This window comes from Homo sapiens, chromosome 18 (genome assembly GCF_000001405.40).
Source record: "Homo sapiens chromosome 18, GRCh38.p14 Primary Assembly".
Classification (NCBI taxonomy): Eukaryota; Metazoa; Chordata; class Mammalia; order Primates; family Hominidae; genus Homo; species Homo sapiens.
Genome location: NC_000018.10, coordinates 45,344,971 through 45,371,368, shown reverse-complemented (window position 1 = coordinate 45,371,368; position 26,398 = coordinate 45,344,971). Strand labels below are relative to the sequence as shown.

The window sequence follows — 26,398 nt, the reverse complement described above, 5'->3', positions numbered from 1 at the left end:
GTGGGTGAAAAGAGTTACAGGACAGGGCCTATTCACTTTTCAACACTGCGTGGGGAAAGTGGAATTTGAAAAGGTCTTTGAGGTTTAACAAGGTTTGGAGAACAGGAGATAGTCCAGTTTGGTGAACAGAAGGAGATCGTGGGAATTATGGCTCAAAAGGCTGGTTGGGTCCTTTTAGTGGAAACTGAGGTAGAGCGATGTCTCAGGGCTACAAGATCAAACATTTTTGACTCATGCTGAGAAAATGGGTATCTGTACCACCAAGCCAGGGTACACAGCTCCTTCACCTTTGGGGGTGTTGCTTTGTTTTGCCTTGGGGTACAACAGATTATTCCATCAGCCCGCCTCTCTGGCCTGTCTTCTCCTAACCAAGCTATTGGCAATCGGATCTTGCTCCCACGCTGACATTTCCCTGAGACTCATTTCATGCTATTTCTTCACAGGGGCATCTGGGCTGACAATGCAAAGAGACTTTTCCCACATAATTGAAAGGAATTTCTGATTATGCGCGGGGATGTCAGCCATGATGAGGTCTTGGACCGTTTCCAATTCCAGCCGCTCTGATGACAGTGTTCCAGTCGCTCTCTCTCTCCCACTCCCTGGCATTCTCCCTGTGAACTTTTTGCTCCCTTCTGGGAGTGATTTCTCAAGATAATATGTTGTTTCCAAGCTTCTCTTTCTCCCACCAGACTGATGGGTCCCGCGTGAAGTGCACTCTTTCTGGGCGCCCTGCTCCTAAGCACTGCTATTTTGCAAACCTGCAAAAATTTTCTCAGTGGTTACCCTGTCATGTCCGTATCTGGAACCCTGTGCCTGACAGGAAAAGGTTGAGTGAACACACATATATTTTGGGTCTTTCTTTAGAGAAGTTCTTTTGAATATGCAGAACAAAGTGAGGGCTGCATTTATCTCTGACCTTTTCCGGCTCTTTTCTTGCATCTGTTAAGGGAAAAACAGGCCTCTGAGCTCACCAGCCTGGTCTCCCACGGAGCAGATGATAGAGTTGCCTGGATTTACTTCTTCACCAGCCCTCATTCCGGAGGCCTGCCTGAATCTTCCCTTGTGGCTGATTCTCCTTCTGGGGTCTCTTGGGGGAAGAAAAAACTCTGAGGGGTGGTTGAAGTGGGGGCTAGACATTCGTCACCCTGGGTTCTCCCATGTGTTCAGCCTTTATACTCCTTTTCCAGGAAGGGGAGTAATCCTGTTTCTGTTTCTTTTGTGTTTTCTAGTAGGGTTGCCTCTGATATGGGGAAAGAATATTTGGCAGGAACAGGGAAAGGAAAGGTAGAGAAATACCAAAATCAACCTGACTCCTCAGTGTTGGTTAGAGAAGATGGCTTTGCCTAGAGCCTCAACAGCTCTGGCTCTCAGTCCATAGAGTTTCATAAAGGATCCAGTTTGGTCTAGGGATGCCTTTGGAGGGAAAAATATCTACCAATACACATTTCCTATAACTTCCCTGGGAAACAGCTATAACACAGTAGAAAGAGTTCTGGACTTGTTATGAGGATTTGATTCTGCTGGACAATTTAGAGGGTGTATTTGACTGTAATCTCACCAAAGAGTCCTCATGTTTGCTTGGCTTCTCGTTGTATTCTCAGAGCTTAGCACTGTGCCTGGTACACTGTAGATGTTCACTAATAAAAATATAACCTTGAGCAAGTTCATACGTAAAATATGTATTTGTGTAAATATACACACACATGAGCAAATACACCTTTCTCACAGCTTTGCTTTTACTATTAAAAGAAATTAAATGAAAGCACTATAGAATAATGATGCTAGCATAAAACATATACATATATCAAATGAATCTTAGTTTATCCTCGTTGGAACACGATTCTTCAGTCAACCCAACCATATATAATATACCCATCTTTGGTCCCTGGGATTTCACTACTAAATATATGATATTTCCTTGGATTAAGCCCTACATTTTCCTAATAACCTCTTTTAAAATGCAGATGTACCTGGGGTGGGCATCAAATTAAGTCAAACATGTGAATTAGTTGGAAAAATAACTTTCCTAAGAAAAGCAGAAGAGAACAAACACCCTTATTGTTTAACCCTAAAGAGAAGTGCATAGGTAGAAAGATATGGGAAAAGAAAGATGGATGTGGAATTTCCTTCATCGGAGACTAAACTGCCCTCATCTTTCTGCTCTAGGGAATCAAGCGGAATTTCCTTTTATATGGTGAGGATCAGGGTTAGTGAGTGGTGCATAAAGGGAAAGATGAGCAGTGTTAGTGTTTATTTGCTTTTCCCATGTTGACTGAGACCCATGCAGAATAATCACTTTCACTTCATGGAGAATCAGCCTTTTCTAGGTGGACTGGTTGAAAACACTCATTCAATTTAGGTATCCCCATTACAACATCCTAGCAGCCTGAGTTGTTGCTGAGCTTCTTCTTGGCTGAAGATGATGAGAATTCATGCTTTTTAAGGCCTGTGCTTCTACGGCTGAATGGCTGAAAAATTTTGAAAATTCCAATTTAATTGGATTACTAAGATTTTTGGTCTTTATTGGCTATTAACTTTACTCGGAACACTTCAGTGTCCAACAGGACCAATTTCTCACTGGTAGGAGAGAAGCAAACAGTTAAGCCAATCCAAAACGAAATTCAGAGCAGGTTGTGATTTGTCTTGAGCCCTTTCGTCTCCACTTGCTTTTTGTATTTCTCCCTTGCCTGCATGGCCTTTCCTCTCTGACCTCAACACTGGAGTCCCCAAACCTTTCTAGCTTTGACATTTGCGAAGTTTCATGGATTGTTAAACAGAGATGATAAATCTGACTTCCCAAATGCTTAACAAGGGAAACGACATTATAAAGTCATAAGCCCAATGTGGCAGGAAGTGTGGGTTCTTCCTTAAATCTTGCCATGGAAGCGATTGTCTACTCCAGCCACATCTCAGTCTCTGACTCCTGGTGGCTTATGCCCAGGGAAAAGCTACGAATGGATCTAAGGGACCAGAGTTTCTGAGTTCTTGGTGTGCAAGGCTATGGATGTTATCTTAAGTATTCTGTTTTCCCTCCTACACTCTCACCCTCAACTCATGCTTTTTCTATATATTCTAATATCATGAAACTCAACAGCAACAAGGCAAATTATACATTCAAAGGAAATTAACTGTAAGTGTGGGCATGTCACTCTCTTGAGAGGCCTGGCTCATAAGCACTGCTCAGGAGACCTGCAGAAAGTTTCAGGTGCCCTTTACTTAGGTAAAGGGAAAACATCAGAGTGTGTCTCTCCATCTCTCCCACATTAAATCTGCTTGGAGGATGCGTCTGTTATCTTCTGTCCTCCTGGATCCCCACAGTAGGAATTCCCACTGTGCACAGAGCAGCAAAGAGACATGAAGGATCACAGCCACCCAGATGTTCCTGTTTTCAATCCAAGGTGTCAACCAGTGAGCTCAAGATTTGCCTTTGATTAATCAAAAAGAACATTAAGCCTTCAGTGCCTCTTTCTCTAGATAAAGAGCTGCCACTTTATTCTGATTACAATTCCTGAACTCAAGAGCCAGAAGTAAGTTGAGCCAAGATAGCCTCTTATAGCAGAGTAAACAGAGCCCTGGGAAGGAAGAAAACTTACACACCAGCTCAACAACAACAACAACAACAAAAATTTGATTTGTAGCACTTGCTGGTTTCCATGGTGTAAATACTTGAATCATGGCCAATATTAAGCTACCAATGTGAGGTTACTGAAATTGGAGTTGGGGAATGATGTTCACAACTGGCTTGGTATGAGCCAGCCCTGGCACACTTCTGGACTTCTGGGAGAAAGTGACCTTTGCTAGGTCATGAGGCCATTAAAATGTTGAGTCCACAGGTTGACATGATGTTCCAGTCTGCTTGCTCACTGATTTGGTCAATGTGCCATTTAAAATGGGAAGATGAGATTCTTTACATGCACTGAATAATTTTTTTCTTTTCTTTTCCTTGTTCTTGTACATGACAGAGTCAGCTGGTTTCTGAGAACCTAAAAACCCAGGAGAAAGATATAAGGAGGCAAGGACGCTCATTCTTCCATAACCTATAGGAAACCCAGTTTCATCATAAATATATGAAATCTCGGTAGCATCCTCCAAATCCATAAGGTACCACCTTGCTTGGGACTTTGGTCAAGTCTTTTTCCCTTTCTGGCTTGCTGTTTTCATAATTGTAAAATGAAAAGGTGGACTTCAAAGTTTCTCTCATAGTTCTAACATTTCTCTTACTCCAAACTGAAAATACAAAAGCTACAGATCCAAAATATAAAACCAAACTGACAATTCCAGATCAAAGAAACACCTTTCTTCATTTACATGCTGCTGTATAACTGGTTGCCTGCCCCACAGCTAAATGGAGCTGTGATTCTGACAGATTTTACTTCTGTCTCTGTGTGTAAGGCCTCTGCATGCTGTGTGATTGAAAGGATACCAGTAAGTCCCAGCCCTGCCCTTAAACTACTCTCTCACAGGTCCGTTACTTGGCCTGATATCCTACCTTTACGCATACACTCTGTTCCATTCTGAAGGGGGTAGACTGCTCTGATGAAGCACATCCAGTCCATCAGCAGCCTGAATGCTTTTGTATCAATAAGTATTCCACCAGATACCAGCTGAGCCAGTTCCCTCAATTGTGAGAGACATACTCCAGGTAAGCATGGAGGTAAGGAAGTGGGAGAGAGGGATTCACGCATGGGTCCTGGTGGGGCAGAGGTATGTCCTAGGCAGAAGGCTGTAGCTGGTTTTTCTGGGTAGTCTGAAAGCAGCTAGCCAGCAGCTTCTGGGTGATAGGAGAGGAGAAGGCACTATAGTAAGAGAAAAGATGTTGAAAAGGGAGGTAGAAGTGATAAACAGCTCTCTAATTCACAGTATGCTGGGGATCCATCTTCCACATTGCACACTGTCTTTTTGTAGGTAGGAGTGGCCACACGGGGGTCCCCAGCATGAGAACACTGGTGCCTTTGTCTCTCTGATTGTCACATGCCTTCCCCACCTGGTAGCACCTGGCTGGACAGAGCTCAGAGTCTCTGTTTATCTCAAACCTTTCTTGAGGAGAGGAGAGCAGTTGTGGAAGGAGGCCAAGGAAGCCCCTGGGTGAAGTTGGGGATTGAGCCCAGGAAGGATGGTGTGATCGTGGTGACAGCTGTGGCTAGCCAATGCAGGGAGCTTAGAGGATTCCGCTGAGGAAGTCAAGGTGCTTGGGTCAAGCACCTGACCAGGGAGGCAGCTGTGTTGCGTTTTCTGCTCCAGGGCACACTCTGCTTCATGGTAGGTCCTTTGGAAAAGAAAAACTAAAAACTGTAGTGGTGTTCACTCTACTCATGCTGGAGGAATTTTTTGATTACAAAACTAAGTTTATTGAAGTTGATTTTTTTTTTTTTTTTGGTCCTTTTGCTTTGCTTGGGTGTACGTGCTTAGTCTGTTTATGGGATAATCTAGCCCCAGCTGCAACCCTAAACTGGCTAATTGGACAATTTATGTGTGCTAAGTGTATAAGAGACCAGCTCATTCACAGTGCTGGAAAAACAATCACTAGTAACAATACTATTAATAGTAACAATAACAATAGCTAACACAGACAGTGCTTGCTCTAAGCCAGGTGGTAGCACTGTGATTTGAACGCAGGCCTCTTGGCTCTAAAGTCTGTGATCATAACCATCAAAAGACAGACCTCTTCACCAAAAGTGTTGCCCAAGTGACATAGGGGAAGAGCACCGAGCAGGGAGGTATAGGTGATCTGGAACCTCTGCGATGCTGGGCATGATACGAAATCTCTCTAATCCTCAGTTTCTTCTCTAGCAAGGAAGACAACCAAGACCAAGAAGTCACAGAGTCTGAATGGGTTATGAATTTTCTTTGTGTTTGGCATCCTGCAAGCTCCACAGGAGCAGGCACACATGCCTGTTTTGTTCCTCTCCATGAAGTTCGTGCCTAGCACAAAGTAAGTGCTCAATAAATTATTGAGTGAATGAATTAATTGTCTAACAAGACACTTAACACACATGATCTTATTGGATTCTGCAGCAACCCTAGAGGGTACATATAGTAAGAAGTTCCTATAATGACCATTGCCTAGGCAAGATTACAAAGATTACTATGGAGGAATGATCTCACAAGGTCACAGAGCTAGAAAAAGGCAGAATTGGGACCTATACCCAGAATTTCTAACTCTAGCTCTGTAAAGCTGGGACACTGGAGAAGCAGAGGTTTTGGTGTAGTACTCCTCTGAGCTCGGGGTCTTAGAAGTCCACATGGGGCTGCTGGAGTGGTGAGGGGAGATGGAGGTGGGAAGAAGGGAGAAGACCCCTATTCCCCTATTCTCTTTCAATCAGAGAGGATTCCTCGACTTATTTACCTGCCTGTGATCTCATCTGAAGAGAATTCTATGACCCCCCAAAATCTGCGATTCACTCTGTTCCAGTTCTGTTACTCTTTATATCTGGAGCTAGAACTGGGCTTCAGATCACTGTCACAAGAGGTGACCAGAGAATGGTGCTTGAGTTACTTCTTTTTAATAAAAGTTTGCTGGCAAGTTCCTGTGAGTGAGTTCCTGCTTGTAAAAGAGAACCCATTCTTACTTCTGGAGAAAAAACTCGAGACAATATTGATAATAAAAATGAGTAAAACATATCATGCTTGCTAGGTGCCAAGCACTATTCTAAAACGTGCATTCCCCAATCCCTGCTGCTTGTAAAAACCTGTAGTTGTTTTTCTTTATAATGACATATCATGGACATCTTTCAGAAGAAAACTGTTTTCTCTCTTGCTGCAATTGCTCTGTTCAGCCACATCCACTCCTATTTCATATATACATTTTTGTGTATACACACATATACATGCACATATGTATACATAGGTGTATATATGTTCATGTATAAGTTAATTCTTATAATTTGTCTAACTTCAACATAGTACATACTACAGAGGAACAACTCCTTTTCTCTTCTACTCTCACAGTGATCAAGAGAAGTAAACCAACCAACCATCAGAAAGAGTCTTCACACCTAGTATAGTGACATTTTGAGATATTTTAAGAGTCAGAAGACATTGAATTTCAGTCTTAGCTTGGGCTAGTCATTTTTCTATTCAAATAATGCTTATTAATTGCCTTCTAAGCATAGCAAATGACAGGGAATACCAGAAGTATATGATGTAATCTATGACCCCCTGCAAGCAGCCATCTAGAGCAGGGAATAAAATGTCCAAAAAGTGTGGTAGGAGGCAAGGGCTGACGAGTTGAGGGAGTGACTCAGACAGCTACAGAGCACAGGGAAGAGTTGAGGGATGGGAGGGGGCTCAGGTGAGACGGGAAAGCTTTAAGGAGGCACTGGCATTTGAAACTGGAAGGATGGGTACAGTTATTAGGTACACATGGCCTCTTTTGGCAAAGCAATTGAGGAGACTGCATTGTAATGCTGAAGGAGGCCATTCTGGGGAGGCAGGAGGCCCAGGTCAAGGGGTACCTGCTGCAGCCCATTCCTCCTCCGAGCCTCACCTCTCATCTGTTAAAGGAGAAGTGAGGCCTGAGGAGGTGACTTTCCCCCATCCCCAGCGTGACACCCCAGGAAGTGGCTTATGCCCAGGTAGCTTCCATCCTCCACAGCTGCCCGAGGAGCACAGCCCCTCCCCATCATCACCACCTGGCAAAGACCCAATGTGTTACTTTTGTCTTAATCCATGTCATTCAGGAATAAACCTCTGAGTTTCTCCATCTTCCACTTCTAAGCACGGCCTCATTGATATTCAGCAAACTTTCCTGCCCTCTTCTTTTTTAATTCTGTGAGAAGACATTTCAATGAGTCTGAGCTGGGACAATTTAAGGCTGAGACTCCGATCTCTATTCACAGCCTGGGTACATTCTCACAAGATTTGAGTCAGGAGGCTAAGCTTTTTAGATCCCCCAGTGGCATTGTCTCCAAGTTTCTCGGGGCCAGGCTGCCAAGTTCATGCGAGGTGCTGATCTCCCTCCTTTCACAGACCTACTTATTAGCAGCTTTCTTTCTTTCTTTTTCTTTATTTTTCCCCCTTCCAGGCCCATAGATACAATTATTAGAAATTCCTGGTTTTGTGCCCATATTGAAAGAAGGCCTGAATGGGTATGCTAAGGACCCGAAAGTGAGCCACTCTCCCTAACTCCAGCTTCTGTGGTTAATTAGATTTGGATGGTTTCAGAGGAGCAGCTGGAGTTTTCAGAAAATGGAAGCGATAAAAAGGGACTATTCAAGGTATTTTGGAGGGGCTGTATAAAACAATATCGCTGTGAAATGGGGTTTGGGAAATACAACGCTCTTGATTTGGCCGAGGGTTGGGGGGGTCGTTGCACAGGGAAGGGCAGGCAGGGGCAGACAGGAATGGATATGAGCAGGCAGAAAAGTGCCAGGCCCTGGTGGATTTCGTTATGCTGGAGGTTGTCAAGCTGGTACCCCCCAGTGAGCTCCAGTCTCATGGCAGATCTGTCCCTAGCATGGGGGAGCAGCTCCATCCAGCACACACCAGAGACAGGTAAATTGGGAAAGATGAGAACTAAATATTTGTCTTGGAGTCCAAGGCCACTTACCTGTGGCTGAAACTATCAAATGTTTATCAGGATAAAAGTTTCTGCAGCAGCAGCTATGCAGTGTGAGTGATGCTATACCAGCTGCTTCTGGATATCTAGAAAAACCTATGCTTCCTGCTTTGGACAGAACGTGGGTGGCCCTACCTGGTAGCAGCTAATGCCCTAAATCCTCTGATTTTCCTGGTTTCTCTTAGTGTGATATTTTAAACTTGTAAACATGCAAAGACCCAAAGAGAATGAGTCTTTACATCCACCATCTAGTTGTGTGACTCTGGGCATGTCACTTTGTCTGTAATTTTTAGTAGATTTCTTCATCTCTAAGACCAGGGGAGTTGGGCTGGATGCGAATAGCCCTGCTGACTCTCACATTGAGTTATTCACTCCTAGGAATGAAGAACATTTATGGAAAAGTTTGGAAGTGGGGTGGGGGCACCAGAGGGTTCCTGTCAGTGGAGGAGATCAACTGGCAGCCACATTTCCCAGCTCAAATTCTACTCCCCAGTTGTGTTAGTTTGTTTTCACACTCCTGTAAAGAACTACCTGAGACTGCATAATTTATAAAGAAAACAGGCTTAATTGACTCACAGTTCTGCATGGCTGGGGAGGCCTCAGGAAACTTACAATCGTGGTGGAAGGGGAAGGAGAAACAAGTACCTTCTTCATAAGCTGGCAGGAGAGCAAGTGAGTGAAGAAGTGCTACACTTTTAAACCATGATATCTTGTGAGAACTCACTCACTACCATGGGAACAGCATAGGGGCAATTGCCCCCATAATCCAATCACCTCCCACCAGGTCCCTCCCTTGACACATGGGGATTATAATTCGATATGAGATTTGGGTGGGAACACAGAGCCCAACCATATCACCAGTGATTCATAGTCTAAAGCGGTTCTTGGAAAAGTGGTCAAGTGGTGCTCCCGGGGAAAAGATGGGCCTGAGCCGTGTCATTTTTTTCCATGCAGCAATTATCAGGAAACTTTGTTTTAACCCAGTGGTTTTCAAGATTTAAAAAAAAAAATTACTGCAAGACTTTCTTCAAGCAAAATCTTACCTGAAATCTCAGACTGTAAAACAGGGAGAAGCCGAGAAGCCGAGCAGCCCTGGCCGAGAGGGAGAGGGCTGCCAGGACTGTGCTTGAGTCAGCCTAGCTCTTATGCCCCCACAGTGTCCCTTGGGTGCAGGCACAGAGTTCTGGGGCCACTTGGGGTTGCTTCAGGGACTCTGCATACAACAAAGTGGTTTCTGCCAAGCCCAGAAGTTTTAAACTGTCCCATCTGTTTTTGATATTAGGGTTCTGTCTGGGATTCCATTCAATAAAATTGTAGAGGTGCCCTTTTCCTTGATTCTTAATTCTAATCAAGTCAATGTGTGAGACTGTCTGGTTGTGTAGGTGGGAGCTGGGTAGGACCAAAATGTGGTGATTAATGTCAATGTGTCCATGGGCTGCCAAGCCCTGGAGAGAATCATGGTTTCAAATGACAGCTCACTCATTCCTTTAGCAGAAGGCCACCCCCTTATAACAAAAAACACTGCATTCTGTCCTGTGGCTACTGGGGGATGAATGAAACCCAGTCTCTTCTATTAAGGGTTTATTACGCAAATAAGGGATAAAAATCACACACATGATGACTACAATCCAGGGTGACTTCATCTGTGCTGTATCAGAGGGACACAAAATGCTATCAGGTCTCAGAGAGAGGAGAGGGGACTTCTAGCTGGGTGGTCTGACAGGAACGACAAGATGTGCTACCCAGTTTCAGGGGAAGAGAACAAGAACTGACGGATACGGGTCCTGTCCATTGCATTTTATTTCAATGTTTTTAAAGACTTAAATATTGGAAGCGAGGGAGTGAGTAGAGAAAAAAGTGAATACATTAGGGGTGGCACAGAGGGACAAAGAGAGAGGAAAAGAGAGATGGGGGAATGTTTCAGATAAACTTTCAATGTACAACACTACAAAATCTCCCCTTCTTCTTCAGAGCCCTGATGTTTTCAAAATACTGAGCTGTTAGTTCTTGTCATTTCAATTGCCCTTTCTCTCTGTAGCATATTTTTAAAATTGTTGGCTTCTAAAAGATAAGGATCATGAGCGCCTATTTTAATAAATCAGTTTACAGTGCAAGTTATTTCCCTTCTTGGAAATCAGATCACCAGCTAGAGAGCCTTTAGGCAAATGAAACACACAATGGGCATCTTCTTTCTATGTTGTCTGGGGAAGTACACACAAGACATGTCCCATCCTTAGACATGGACTGTCTGGAGAGAAAGGACTGGCTTACCAGAAGCCTTTAGAAAATGGGATGTTGCTTATAACTGGCATTGAGGATCTGAGTGGCTTGAGATTTTGACAAGTCAGGGGAGATCCTGAGCTCTGCAGAAGATTTAGGAGGTAGGAGAGGTAGAAATTAAATGAGTAGTTATTCAGTGCCCAGACTTTACTCTTAGATACTATGGGGACACAAAGAAATAGAAGACCCTTGAGTCTCTTTCTGTTTTTCTTTGAGGAGGGATGTGTCGTAGGCCCAGAAAATCATCATTGCCCACTGAAGCGTCCATAGGGATGCACGACTGGCTTCTGTGGTTCCAACAATGCCTGGGCAGAAAAGGGAAACATCTTTGTGGGGCTGGGGCAGCCATCAGGGAAGGAAGTATATGTTGATGAAGACAGTGAATCTGGAGAAATAAAAAACCAATCAGAGGAGCTTTTACTGGGAAGGGAGGAGGTGAGGGTAGGTTGGGCAGAAGTCCGGAGCTGAGTACAGCTCGTCTGGGCTAAAATGAAGACATCTCCTGACAGGAGTGCAGGGCCTGGGCTGGAAATGAACTTGAGAAGAATCCAGGCAAAGATTTTGAGTGGAGATTGCAGTGAGTTTGGAAATCAGGGAGACTTGAATTCCAAGCTAAGAAATGTGAACTTTACCATATAGGTGAGGGAAGCTCTGTTTCTGTCCAGAAAGCTGAGCCCCTATCATTTCATCAGTTGGACAGAAGCCCTTGCCGGTGGCTGGGCAGCAGACCCGTGCCATGCCAGGACACCCTGCCCCATTTGGTGGCAGCACAGACATAATGGGCTGGAAGCAGCTTGCCATAATTTGTGCTCTCCAGGCTGCTGCCTGGTTTGAGAGGAGAGGCGATGCTCCCCCTCTGCACACAGTGATTGCTGTCCCAAAATAGCCTGGCACCTGCTCTGAGATGCCTGTGAGATAATTTCAGCTTCCAAGGAAACTGCCCTGATTGGTGTTGATTTTTCATGACCTCCCTTTAGGCGAACACCTGGAGATAAGCACCTGATCACAGAGGTGTGCCCTTGAGAGCCCAGGGCACTGAGGAATGCAGCCTGGGCCTGTCCGGGGAGGCCTACTCCTTATCTCTTCCCTGGAGAAGGAGGCACCACAGGGTTAGACATTAACTGGCTGATGCAGAGAGGCAGAGGAGGAGGAGGGGTGCTGGAGCAGGAACCATTGCCCTGGGGAGCCACTCTGGAACAAACGCTAGACGGGGGGGCCTGCTTCCCATCTCTTTTCACAGTCTGACCCCAAACTCTCTTCTCAGCTTATCTTCCACCTCAGCCCACTCTTCCATTTCAGCTCAAACCAGCCCTATAAAAAGGGGACCTGAGAGAAATCCAAACAACTGGCAGGAAAATTGGGAAGAATCCCGGATGGAACCATGAGTCAGCATCACCTTTAAGGCATTGGATTGCTGCTTGGTATACTTCAGAGACTGTAAAAAGTGACATTATCTCATCTGACTCTCCCCAAAACTCTAGGTGGCAGGTGTAGGAATCCTTGCTTCCATTTTGCAGATGTTTATTAACTTGCCCAAGGCCATGCAACTAAAAGTGTTAGAAGTCAGGTTTGGATCTGATATTCAAAGTTCACCTTCCTTTCTCTGTGCTATACCGGTTTGGTCATACATTGTACATTTAATTGTGGGGAAAGAGGCTGGGCATGGTGTCTCATGCCTGTAATCCCAGCACTTTGTGGGAGATTGAGGTGGGAGGACTGTTTGAGGTCAGGAATTCGAGACCAGCAACATAGCAAGATCACCATCTTTGCAAAAAAAATACGAAAAAGTTAGCTGGGTGCAGTAGTGTATGACTGTAATCTCTGTACTCAGGAGGCTGAGGCGGCAGGATTGCTTGAGCCTAAGAGGTAGAGGCTGCAGTGAGCTATAATTATGTCACTGCTCTTCAGTCTGGGCAACACAGCAAGACCCTGTCTCCTAAAAAAAATTATGGGGAAAGAAAGGCTACTTGAAGTAAGTCGAGTTTTATGAGTGTTTCATTGTATTCCTCTAGTGGGCCAATAGGACTCTGTGGAGTCTTTCAATATTCTCATTTTACAGAGTTTCATCTGAACCCAAGGAGGTACTGCTTCCAGAAGGAGCAGCCCGACAGAAGTGGCCTATAGGAGCAGGGAGTGGTTTTGGGGTCCTTTCTTTTTCATAGAAATGAAGCCCCAGTAGCGGGAATATAAAGTGGGCGAGGCATCATCTGTCACAACAAAGCAACCAGGCTGCTGTCCAAGCGTCATTAATCACTGGCCACCTAAGCACATTAGAGAGTGTGGCTGCAAAAGTAATCAATGCACGTGGTAAACAGGCTTCTGCCAGGGAAACCAAGCTGGTTTCTACTCTTTCCTCCCTTCCAAAGCACACCATTCACTGCAACTCAGTCTCTCTGGCAAATTTTTGAAGATTTAATGTTGAGTCCTCATTGGGCACTTCACCAAGCAAAAAGGGTAGACCACCAAACCTCTCTGCTCTGCCTCTCTCTCTCCTTCAGAGAGTTTATTTTTAATTTTTTTCTTCAACTGAAGATATGCACAATCAACTACCTTGATTGGGGAATTATATGGCCCTTGCCAGCTCATCTGTGCTGATTCACTAACTTTGTCATGTCTCCAAGGAGAGTGATTTGTGATTTATTTTTGCATTTGTGGTTACCAAAAACTCTGTGCTTCAGAGCTGGGGGCTTTCTGGAAGTCTCCTAAGATGTGGCAGGGAATGAGCCTTTTTTCAGCCTTTCTTCATCAGGGTTCCTGCAAGTCCACTGCCTGAATCTTCCTTGATGTTCCTCAGGTCATGAGCCCTGGAGGGATGGCTCATCTCAGGCCTATGCTTCTCTTCCCTCCTCTGCCTGAAGCTGCAGAGGGGCTCCACACCCTGCAGACCCACACACTGTGGGGTGGTCTTCTTTTTCCTTCCTCCCCTTCCTTCTTCTTATTTCTTTATTTTTATTTCTTTGAGACAGGGTCTTACTCTGTCACCAAGGCTGGAGCTCAGTGGTGCTATCATGTCTAACTGAAGCCTCAAATTCCTGGGCTCACGCATGTGCCACCACGCCCAGCTAACTTTTTAAAACACTTTTTTGGGAGATGGGGTCTGGCTGTGTTGTCCAGGCTAGTCTTGAACTCCTGGGCTCAAGTATCCTCCTGCCTCAGTCTCCCAAATTGCTAGGATTACAGGCGTGAGCCACCATGCCTGGCCTCTTTCTTCCAATTCCACCGTATTTCCCCCTCAAGATCTGTTTTCTCAACCTGCCCTGATAGTATTAATAGCAAAAAAAAAAAAAAAAAAAATTGTGTCCCAAGGCCACTGCCTCAGGAAAGAATGAGGGAAAGAGTGGGAAGAGAAAAGCTGTTGTCTTAGTCTTACCCTCAGCCACTCCTCCTGGTCCCCCTTCTTAGCACTGTAGCTTCCTCTCTCCTCATAGCTACAGACTGCCTCTCCAACATCCCCAATAAAAGTCCCTATGCTTCTAGAATGTATATAACCCTAATTAAACAAATAGTCAAAATCCAGTGAAGATGAGGCCAGTGAAGCCTGCTGCATCATCCTTCCTGCTGTGTTCTAGCACCTGGTGCCCCCGTGGTGGTCCAGCTAAATGCCCAGCCCCAGGTTCCCAGGCTCTTGATTCTGCAGGGCTGATGGCTTCTTGTATCTGGCTCCAAGACCTGATACAGACCTCTCATTTCCAAACCTGGCTGGTTGATCATGCCAATCATTTAGGAAACTATTGCAAACATTTGTCCCAGACACTACCCAGAGTTTCTGATTCAATAGGCCTATATTTTTGTAAAAGCTTCTGGGCTAATTCTAGTAACCGCCAGCCATGTTTGAGCACCTCTGATACAGGCCACTAAATATTATGTTGTTCCTAACCCATATCTTGATGTTTGAGTATCTAGACTGTTGGCCTACATTTTATTTATTTCCTTTCCTCCAGCTATGACCTTAAGGAAAGTCAGCTTTCTGGTCTCAGGTTCGATCACTTCCCACATCGTTTCCCGTATCTCATTAGTCCAATTTGTCACTGTCTGTGCTGATGTGACAGGTTTCTTCCATGGCATCTGTAAGTGGGATACCGTCACACTCTGGGGAAATTCCCTAAATAAGATAAAAGTCTGTTGGATGGGTTTTGCTGTTTAACCAGCACTCCTATATGATGATGATTATTGAAACTCTAAAAATCATAGTCATAATAGTAGCCTGTCATAGAAAACAAGGCTGTTCTATATCCATGATCTCATTTTGTCCCACAGAAAGCTTTAAGACCCAGCAGTGTCAGTCCTGTTGTACAGATTTATAAACTGAGACTTGGAGAAGGTATTGAACATGCTCAAGGAGCCACAGAACCCATCCTTTTGAATTTTTGGACCACCAGAGGTCACACTACACTGAGTGAAGTTTTGGTTTCAGTCAATGATAAGGTAGTCTGAAACTTGGCATGTCCACAAATCCCTCACACACCCCATCAAAGCTATCACAAAAGCTGTCACAAAACCCCTGCAATGTTCTCAGCAGTCCTGGACTGTTCCCCAACCCCTGCCCCAGTTATGTTTCAGTCTCCGTCTTCTGATTTTCTCTTTGCCTCTAGTCTCCCCAGCTCCTGTATTCAGCTCCTGCCTTATACCTTGGTTGAGATTAACCCATCTAGGTCTCTTTAACTCTTGCTTCCTGGAATGCTAAGCCTGCCTTGACTGTCCGCTCAGAAATCAAATATGACCATGCTCCCTAGTCAGCCCACCCAGTGTTCTGAGATGAGTGGGTGCATTCAGACAGTAGTGTTCAGAGGTTTCATATCCAGACATTCTGTCTGAAGCAACAGTAAGCCTTATGTAGCCTGACTGTGGGAGTGTGTGGCAGGGGTCTTTGTACTTCCTCTCCAAAAATACCTTTCCTCCCCAACTGCCCTGGCAGCTAAAAAAAATCAGGGTTTTTTTTTTTTTTTTTTTTTTTGAGACAGAGTATCACTCTGTCGCCCAGGCTGGAGTGCAATGGTGCGATCTCGGCTCACTGCAACCTCTGCTTCCTCGGTTCAAGTGATTCTCCTGCCTCAGCCTCCTGAGTAGCTGGGATTACAGGCACACACCACCATGCCTGGCTAATTTTTTAATGTATTTTTAGTAGAGACAGGGTTTCACCGTATTGGTCAGGCTGGTCTCGAACTCCTGCCCTCGTGATCCACCCACCTCGGCCTCCCAAAGTGCTGGGATTACAGGTGTGAGCCACCGCGCCAGGCCTAAGTCTCTTATATCTCTATAGGATTAGAGATATATCTCTATTAGCATCATAAAGTTTGTCATTCTTTGAGCACTTACTATGTGCCAGGCCCCGTGCACTGTATACATTGTCTCCTTGCGAAAGGTCAATTATGATTGTCCCCATTTCACAGACTAGGATATTTGGGCTCAAAGAGATTAACATGGAAATCCATGAACATCTCTCTGCCCTAGATTGTAGAACCAGGAGGTGAAGGAGCCCTGTTTCCTCATCTCAAAGGCAGGTCAGACTCAATTGTTTCTTCCATAATTTTATCTTTCCTCAGTTCTACCAATATATGCTCCATTTAAGATATCATACTTCTTAAAACAAAACAAAACAAACAAAACAAAACATAGAATTAGCAGTCATTGACATCTTTTAGTGAGTGCCCAGTCCACACAGCTGAAAGTCCTTTGGGATTTTAATAGGGGTAAACCAGAGGTCATTTGGAGGTTGAGCCACTTTGTGGAATAGTAGACCCAGTAGGCTACATGGAGAGTGAAGGTTGGGGAAGTGCAGCATATACCATGAAATTTGGAAAACTTCATCTCCTTCCTAATTTTTCCTCATCTGGCCATTTCCACAGAAATTGTCCTTTACCAGAGCAGTGGCTTTGCCAAGACATATACAAGCTGACCCCACCAGATAACCAAGCATCACCAGCTCTGGTATAGCTCCCTGACTCCACCAGACAGGGCTCCAGGTATCCCTCTGGGATGTGAGGACACGCTTGCAAGCTTGTCTGCTCCACTGAACTGGGAGCCTCCGCAAGTCAACACTGTCTCTGACATGGTTGTTCTCTTGTGTCACTCACATGGCAGACCTTACTCAAGATGGGTTGAAGTAGTGAGCGGAGGAATGGGTCACAGCCACCCCTGCTGCCACCAATCACCCAGAAGCCAGTGCATCCCAGCTCTGCCTATTTCTCAAGGTCTCTCAGAAATCAGCCTCCTCCCAGTGTCTAGGAGCTCTGCTGATTGATTCACTAGGGACCCTTGAGGCTTATTGATCTGGTAAATAGAATGCTAACAAGTTGGACTGGTGATCCCGGGAACATCAATAGCTTAGATAAGCTTGAATCAGCGACTTCTACTGGTTATAGTGTAGGTAATTTGTCTTTATATTTACGTAGTATTGATGTTATAGAGAACAATTATTCATTCACCCTATAACTTATGTCAACTCTACCCCCTGCGAAAAATTACCTCCAGCACCTTCAATATTTTACAGATGAAGGGAAGAATTTTGCCTCTTTCTCATGGTGAAGGGAGAGCACAAACACTGTCCATCATCTCCACCATCGTGCCTTTCTTGGAAGAGTCCCCATACATCTTGCTAAAAAACTTTTTAACCTCAGGAAAAAGAAAACAATTAACAACTAGTTTAATCTCCATTTAACATAAGCCTCTAAGATTTTAGAGTAAAGCAGGTCTCAAGCAGCCATAGGTAGACTAATATAAAAGGCTGGTCAATCCAGGGGTGTATATTTAGTCTTGGAAGGTGCTGAGAAGAAAACCATGAGTCACAGCCTTCATGCATGCCTGCCACACCCAGACTCTCTCAAACGCACCAGCCCTAGGGATCTTCCACACTTAGTATGCATTCTTATTGTTGTCCCATTGAGGCTTAACGATGTGGTGGGAAGGAAAGCCACATCTGGTCCCAGGTCACTAGGGATAATTTGTGCATTGATAACTAAGAGGTAAGAACAATTTTAATCTGTAAGTTATAACTGGACCTTCAGGAGAACTGTGCTATACCAGGTCACATGGATCCAGTCATAAATATTTTCTGTAACACAATTGACCTACAAGGACACTAACTTTCCCATCTTCCCAAAGAACTGTACAAAATCAGAACTGTGCTATTTATGGAAATCTCTGGTTCCCACATTTCACCAGTTTACCATCATTCTTTTCCTGTATCCCTAGTCATGAATTATGAACCTAATTCAACTGTCTTCCACCACTGTGGATATGTATAATTGTTGGCATTTCCTAGAGTTTTCTTTGAATTTCTACCATTTGTAGTCCGCCCTCTGTTAAAGCAAACTATGGCCTGAGAAGGACTCCGTACTTCTATATTTGAGTCCTTGTGGACGAACGGTAACCTAGCTTAACAGGCAGAGAAGACAGAAAACCTAACTTAGGTGTATGCTTATGTAACAATAGCTGAGTCTTGGCCAATCCCAGCAGCCACACTTCAACCACTCGTAGACTGCTGAGTGTTCAGACTGTATTCAAATGAAACAAAGGCCAACCTGTAACCAATCCAGCTGTTTCTGTACCTCACTTTTGATTTCTGTATGTCACTTTTTATTTGTCTATAAATTTGTTCTGACCATGCAGGAGGCATCCCTGGAGTCTCTCTAAATCTGCTGTGATTCTGGGGGATGCTGTTTCCTCTTCCTGGAATATTATTTAATATTTTTCCTTCTCTCCTTATCTCTTGACCCTCTTCACTGCCACCCCCTTTTACCCAGTTACTGTCCCTCAACCTTAGATCTCAGCACAACTCTCCTTTCTTCCGGGAAGCTTGCTCTGTCCCCACCACAGCCTCAATCTGGGCTTCCTCTTACCTGTTCTTACCACTTCTTTTATTTTCCTTTGGTGTCACTTGTAAACATTTATTTGTGACAGTATTTGGCTAATGTCTGTCTCTCTCGATGGGTTGTAAGCTCTACAGGGGCAAGGATCAAATCTGCCCTTACACATCATTCTATCTGTGGAATCTAGCCCGAGTGCCTAGGGCCTCAGTAAGTCATTTTGAAAGATAGAATAGGAAGAATGGGAAGACAGAAGAGAAAATAAATAAATAAAGGTATCAAATTTTAAAGTTTAGTCTACTTATGTGCCTCTTCCTCCTCTTTGGGGGATAAATGACTATGTCATGAACAATTCGTCTCTACCTAAAAGAGGAAAACTTGCCCTCTGGATGGAGAATCATAAGAAAGAATGGGTATGGGGTGGGGTACAGGGGTACAGGTTGTGTGTGTGTCATTCCCTTTCCAGAAGCCCCTTCTCCATGGTCTCTCTGAAAATTTACACAGGACTCAACTCAGTGTTTGCCTTTTCTTTGAAGTATTTCCTGGTGACTGAAGACCTCATGAATGTGCACCTTCTACAGATTCCTAAAACACATCAAGAACCTGAGGTTTGAAGGCGCCACAGTCCCATGCCCTGTCCAGTGCAGCAAGCCCCCACCACAGCCCTGTCCACGACTTCCTCATATACATCACCTGCTGTTGTCAGATGACTCTTTTTCATGGACTGAGACGTTTTCTTTACATTGACCTAATATCTGTCTCCCTGATGGTCCTATGACTTGAGCCCATTTGTGTTCCCAAAGCTCTCCTGTTTATCTACTCCTTTCCCATTACAGTCCTTCTGATATTTGAATCCAAGTGTTCCACCTGCTCCCTTTCTTGCCTCTCCAGCCCCATACTAAAACTCTGTGATGTGATTTGTAGTCCTCTGTTTCATGTCTGTCTCATCTCTCCATGTAGGTTGTAAGCTCTCAGAGGGAAACATTTCCCTTCTGCCTCTTTACTATACTTTTCAAACCCAGTAATTGGCTGGAAATATAGTATACTGTAGGTACTGAGCGTACATAAGTAGGCTGGGCATGGTGGCTCACGCCTGTAATACCAGCATTTTTGGGAGGCTCAGGTGGGAGGATCACTTGAGTCCAGGAGTTCAAGACCAGCCTGGGCAACATAGTGAGACCTTGTCTTTAAAAAAATGAACAAAATTAGCTGGGTGTGGTGGTACATGCCTGTAGTCCCAGCTACTTGGGGGGCTCAGGCAGGAGGGTTGCTTGAGCCTAGAAGGTCAAGGCTGTAGTGAGCCAGGATCACACCACTGAACACCAGTTGGAGCAACAGAAAGAGAGACTCTGTTTCAAAACAAACAAACAAAAAACGGTGCATAAGTGGAATAGAAAAGGGCTTGCATGGGAAAAAAATGAGGCTATTTGGGTTGGAGACCCAGGAAGGATAGGATTTTCTTCTTCTGCCATGGTGATAAAGTTAAACTGATCAGGGTCAAGATTTTTCTACCACCTCATATAAGGTCCCTTTCCTTCAATAATGAAATACAAATAGGTGATTATGTTTCCAGCAATTGGTACCAGAATAAAAGACTAAAGAACACCATCATCAGAAAGCACAGGAACTGAGAAGACAAAGACAATTACACACATAGAGAAAATGATCAAGAAGAAAGAAGAAAGGGAGAGACGGTGTGGAGTTAGGAACGTCAGGCCAGGAGTGCTGAGATTTCTCTGGTATCCTCTGCCCCAGTCCCAGAGGATGCATTAGGTTTAATGCAGAAAATGACTGACAAATTACTAGGTCACTGAGTGTGAAATTTATATTTTTTGCTTCTTGCCTTCTCTCATCCTATAATTGTATCGACCTAAACAGTAAAAATATTGCTATTGTCTTCTTTATTATGGTGCTTCTATAAGCGGAACTGCTGTGTCTCAGGGAGCTTTTTTTTTTTTCCTGGATAAATCTTTTCCTTGTGATAAATAAATCCCTAATAGGGTCTTATTTAAATAACACTGTGCTGGGAGTGAGGCAGAAATCAAAAGATGAACCATTAAGCCTAGTAATAGGAAAGTGGTGTGCGTCAGCGGCATTACCGCATCCCGAGAAGCCACATCAATTAGGTACCTAATGTGTGACCCGTCACATAAACTAGTCCAGCCACACACCCCTCATGCTCTCACTATTGATTGTTGCCCAGATATTTGGAATTAAACTGAGCCTCCTAATTATCCAGCATGCAGAGCTGTGCTGGTCCTGCCATCAGGAGACTGAACTGCGGCCTCTTCCCAAGGAATTTCCCTCACTGTGATGAACGTGCTGTCCCTGTGACCTTGAGCTATGAGTGTGTTTGTTTTATAATCAACTGTATCTGAGCCATGGGGGTGTTCTCAGGAATCAGAGATATCAAAAATGGTGACTGTTTAGTGTATGTTAGTAATGCATTGTGATTCTGAGGTTTTATCCAGAATGGTTTTTAACGACATTTATTCACTTTGGTGAAAACACTCTAAATCTGTTTCTCGCACGTTTCTCTGGCTTTCTGGCTACCTTCAGTCATAGGAAATGCTCCCTGCCCTGAACTCTTTTAGCAAGCTGTCAGTCTCACTCACTGGACCATGCTCAAGGGTCTGTGTTTTGTCTTTGTTGACCCAAACAGTGAGTGCAGTAATTATTTTGCTTTTGTCTTAAATCCTCTTTGGTGCCAAGCCTGGGGTTGGAGAAATAGTAGAAGCTCAATAAAAAGTTGATAATATTGATTATTTTGACTACTTCTGATTTCTTATGCTTCTTGAAGTAGTCAATGTTTCCTGCCATTGATGCATTTAGACATTGCCTTTTGCCAAATTACCTAAGCATGTAAAAACCTTGGAGATGGCTTTCAGGTTCCCTGGCATTTTCATTTAGCTAAGTTATGCCTAGTTAGTTCTCTTAATCTTCATCTACGTTCCACTTCTTGCCTTTTAATTTTTTATAATCTGGAGATGACAACACCTTGGATGATTCCAGGGAAACATTTGGGGAAATGCCCAGGAGAGGAGAGAGCTGTAACCAAGATGGGTTATGTTTGTGCAATCTGCCCATTCCTGCTGCATTCACTGCGCAACCTGTGAGAATTGAATTGCCCAGTGCAACATGGGGACCACTGTTGCTGTCTGTCTTGCTTGACCTTTGCTGTGTTCTGGAATGGATGTGCTGGTCTACTGCCTAGGAAGCCCATTGACATATATTCCATCTCTAGGAGAAGGTTGGAATGTGGCCAGCCAATCAAAACACAGGGCAGGGGAAAAGGGGATTGCTAGCAAACTTATTAAAACAACAGTATCTATTTCTATCACTGAAACATGATCAATGGGCCCCAGCATCCCACTTTTGGTATACTGCAACATTCTCATGTGGCTACAAAGGAAAATAGATCTGCCCTGGAACATTTCTATGTATTCCCGATTATGTAACATTTCTCCTATTTGATATAATTCCCAGCTTGCATCATGTGTTTTTCATCAAGTGAAGCTTTTCAGTGAACTGATAGTCCTTCCAAATATGATCTGCTGTATCCAAATGGACAAGGAACAGGAAGCACCTTTATGAACAAGAAAGCGAAATGAGCACAGAGAAATTGGGCAGAACATGGTGAAACTCCATTACACACTGTCGCAGGCTGTCATGAATTGTACTGCACGTCCAACACTTTCCTCAGAGTCAACAACGGGTTTATCACCGATACAAGAGACCAGCAGGAGCCTGAAGCAAGCTGATACCTCTGACATGAGCATTCTGGTCAACTACTGCTGATTTCAAAGTCTTTCTATGACTAGCCATGTAAAAGGAAGGCAGAGCCACACAACTGGTCTGCATGCAAAGAAAAGAATGATCCAGGAAACAGATGCTTGAGCTTGATCATTAGAGTCTGAACTATCAGTCTTTGCTTTTTCACTTTCTACAGTGTTGTCCCGGGCAAGCCACTCCAGTTCTCTGGGGCTCAGTTTCCTTATTTATTAAATAGAGAAAATCATTACTGTTCTACCCATCCAAGATTGGATATGGCACGTACAGAATTATAGCATGTTGGAACTGCAAATGATTGCATTGAGTCCAACATTCATCTGTTAAATAAGACTGTTCAGGTCCAGTGATGTCAAGGTCAAATAGTATAACTGGGGCCTTAGGAGGAATAGTAGGGACCATGAGTATAATTCCAGCCATAGGATATTTGAGCTAGAAGTCACCTGGGGACTGATATGGTGCAATATCTTTACTTTACAGTGAAGGAGTTGAGTCCCAGAGTAGCAGAGGAATTAGGGGATTAATGGGAAAACTGAGGAGGCCACTGGAGTATTTGGACCCCTTGTCACCTGGTCCAAGTGAGATGAGTTATATGCAAGGGTTTTCAGAAATCTAAACTTTGTTTTTAACACATGCGTAAATGATAAGAGGACTAAATACTGTCAAGGTCCATTTCAAATCTTGCAACTACTTTCCATAAACATCTCACAAACCAGAATTTCTCACTGAAGTCGTACTACCCGCTCTGGGCTTCCTGCAGGCTTTGAGCCAGTGCATCCAAGGCCTGGTAGAAGAGTTAAGCAGACTCCTGCAGGAGAAATTGTCCCTGTGTTCTGGATGGTGCAGCAGTACAGAAATCACTGCCATCATGATGGCAAGGAGCTTCAATTGACGAATTCCACTTCGTGCTTACCATGTGCTGTCCACCTGGTATGAGGTGCCATGGGAATGCACAGATGACACTTCTGGTTTTTTCGGGAGCTCACAGATGTGTGGACATAGATAAAGTGGGTTGGGACACCCCGGACCATGGGCTAAGACCTAAGACAGACCTTGAAAGATGCTAACATAGAGGTGTAAGCACTAAAAAAGCATGGTAGTTGAGTGCAATCATTCTGAGTGGCCTGTTCTGGAAGTGTCTGTGGCAACATGGAAGTTTATACTAAGTCTTGAAAATCCAGTAGTTGGTGAGTGGGGACTAAAGGGAGATCAAAGAAAAAGAGAAACTACAGCTTCAAGATGATGGAAGTATCAGAATAAGGTAGGAGGTACCTTCCAATATAAAGACTTAGTGTAAAGCTGTAGTTATTATAACCAGATGGTATTAGCACCAGGAGAGATGGAAAACAGAATAGAAAGCCAGAAACCAGCCCTTGTCTTCTCTGGGTTCCTGATCTATGACAGAGGTGGCCCTGCAGATTTATAGAGGAAGGATGGAATGGCCCATTCTTGTGGAGATAAGTGGTTCTCTTTATGAAAAGAAAATAAAGTCAAATATTGGATCTCTACTTCATACTATGAACATGAATCAATGTCAGGTAGGTAAAAGACCTAAATATGGAAAACAAAACATTTTGTTTTTTGAGACAGGGTCTCACTCTGTTGCCCAGGCTAGAGTGCAGTGGCACAATCTTGACTCAATGCAACCTCTGTCCCCTGGCTCAAGCCATCCTTTCACCTCAGCCTCCCAAGTAGCTGGGACTATAGGTGCATGCCACCATGCCCAGCTAATTTTTGTAATTTTAGTAGAGATGGAGTTTTGCCATGTTGCCCAGGTTGGTCTCGAACTCCTGAGCTGAAGTGATCGGCCTGCCTTGACCTGTCAAAGTGCTGGGATTACAGGCATGAGCCACCACGCAGGGCCACAAAACTTTTTAAAAAAGAAAATATAATCATGAGGTAAAGTAGGCCTGATTTGTTTGTTTGTTTATTTATTTATTTATTTATTTATTTATTTTTATTTTTATTTTTATTTTTGAGTCTCGCTGTGTTGCCCAGGCTGGAGTGCAGTGCAGTGACATGATCTTGGCTCACTGCAACCTCTGCCTCTCGGATTCAAGTGACTCTCCTGCCTCAGCCTCCCAAGTAGCTGGGATTACAGGTGCCCGCCACCACGCCAGGCTAACTGTTGTGTTTTTAGTCAAGATGGGGTTTCACCATGTTGGCTGGGTTTCACCATGTTGGCCGGGTTTCATCATGTTGGCCAGGTCTCGAACTCGTGACCTCATGTGATCCACCCATCTTGGCCTCTCAAAGTGCTAGGATTACAGGCCTGAGCTACTGCGCCCAGCCTAGGTCTGATGTTTTGATACTGATAAATTTATATTAAATTTCCAAACTCCTGCTTATCAGAAGATGCCACTAAAAAGATGAAAGAATTCAGACTTAGAGAAAATATTCACATCTCATAACAACAAAGGATCAATATTCAGAATTTGTTTTCTAAACTAGTAAATGTGAGTAAGAAGAAGACAACCCAGGGACCAGGCATGGTGGCTCACACCTGTAATCCCAGCACTTTGGGAGGCCGAGGCGGGTAGGTCCCCTGAGGTCAGGAGTTCAAGACCAGCCTGGCCAACATGGCAAAACCCTGTCTCTACTAAAAATACCAAAAATTAGCCAGATGTGGTGGTGCATGCCTGTAATCCCAGCTATTCAGGAGGCTGAGGTGGGAGAATTGCTTGAACCTGGGAGGCAGAGGTTGCAGTGAGCTGAGATTGTGCCACTGTACTCCAGCCTAGGCACCAGAGCAACTCCAACTCAAGGGGAAAAAAAAGGAGAACCCAGTAGAAAAGGAGACAAAACATTGGAATAGTCAATTCATAGAAGAGAAAATACAGATCATGAAAACATGTGCGAATAGAAGTTCATCCTTTTGTTATCAGGGAAATGCAGACTAAACTATGGTGAGATACAGTTTCTCATCCATGATACTGGCAAACATTTTAAAGCCTGACAATTCCAAGTGTTGACAGGGATACAGACTGATGGGAACTCTCATTTACTGTTAGTGGGAGTATAAATTGGTACCACCATTTCGGAGAGCAGCTGGCATTACCTAGTAAATTTAAATATGCACATTTTCTATATTCATGCAATTCTTCAGGTAAGTATTTCCTCTGGATTAAAACTCACAGGGAGTTCATTGGAGGCACATATATGAATTGTTGCATAGTATACAATTGAAAATAACTCTCAGATCTATCAAAGGAGCTTGAGTAAATAAGTACTGGATAAATTTATTTATCCAGATGTATTAAAAGAGATTGATAGATCTGGATAAATAAGCTGTGGAATGGTCTTCCAATGGAATGATATAGAGAAGTACCCATGATGCACAAGGATCATGCTTATAAATAAAGTCCAGAAGACAGACCTGGTGGGAGAGGTTTGCCTGAGGACTAAAAAGATCAGGGTAATAAACAAAAGGGATAAGACTCAGGGCCGTGCCTTTGTAGGGAAGCTTTTGCAGGACATCACGTGCATGGCATGATCTGAGAAGGCTTCACTCCTGAACACCTGTCCATCAGATATCTGAAGTGACATCATTAGAGGAAAGGGACTCTGCCTTTAAAAAATCTGTCTCTCTGGCACCTATCAGAGTTCCTAACATAAAGTAAATTCTCAATAATGTATTTTAAAATGCATGAATAACGATTAGAACCAATTCTCCCCTTCTTTGTAGAAAGAAACACAGAGTAAATACAGGATGTTCTCTGAGACTATTCTCATGGCATTCACTTCCTGGCCAGACAGCTTTCTTTATTTCTCACTGTGGGTCTTCACAAAGTGAAAGGTACTGACATGAAGCACCTTTATGAACAAGAATGCACAAGGAACACAGAGAAATTGGGCAGAACATGGTGAAACTCCATTACACACTGTCTCAGGCTATCATGGATCATACTGCACGTCCAACACTTTCTTCAGAGACACAGGGACAGCACGCTTATCACAGTGAGGGAAA

General features: G+C 44.0%; 1 protein-coding gene and 1 long non-coding RNA gene across 6 annotated transcripts in view, besides 1 other annotated feature; one reads left to right on the top strand and one right to left on the bottom strand.

The window, feature by feature from the left end:
• SLC14A2-AS1 (SLC14A2 antisense RNA 1) overlaps positions 1-6,482 on the top strand; it is a 142,177-nt gene extending 135,695 nt beyond the window's left edge. Inside the window, exons 9-11 of the long non-coding RNA XR_007066352.1 lie at positions 3,963-4,101; positions 4,521-4,642; positions 5,791-6,482. This is a non-coding gene — a long non-coding RNA (SLC14A2 antisense RNA 1). The remainder of the gene's footprint in view (positions 1-3,962; positions 4,102-4,520; positions 4,643-5,790) is intronic.
• SLC14A2 (solute carrier family 14 member 2) overlaps positions 1-26,398 on the bottom strand; it is a 515,726-nt gene that overhangs the window by 312,320 nt on the left and 177,008 nt on the right. Inside the window, exon 1 of one of the 5 annotated variants that reach the window (XM_047437875.1) lies at positions 9,601-9,675. The exons of the other annotated variants lie outside the window; for them this stretch is intronic. The gene's annotated coding sequence lies outside the window, so the exon portion shown is untranslated. Of the gene's footprint in view, positions 1-9,600; positions 9,676-26,398 lie in introns of those variants that run through there. 5 annotated transcript variants of the gene reach the window in all.
• Positions 7,199-8,971: an enhancer, noted in NCBI's record as "VISTA enhancer hs1363". NCBI's record gives its function as "enhancer in: midbrain (mesencephalon)[5/7] | forebrain[4/7]" and the evidence as "EXISTENCE:transgenic organism evidence [ECO:0001131][PMID:17130149]".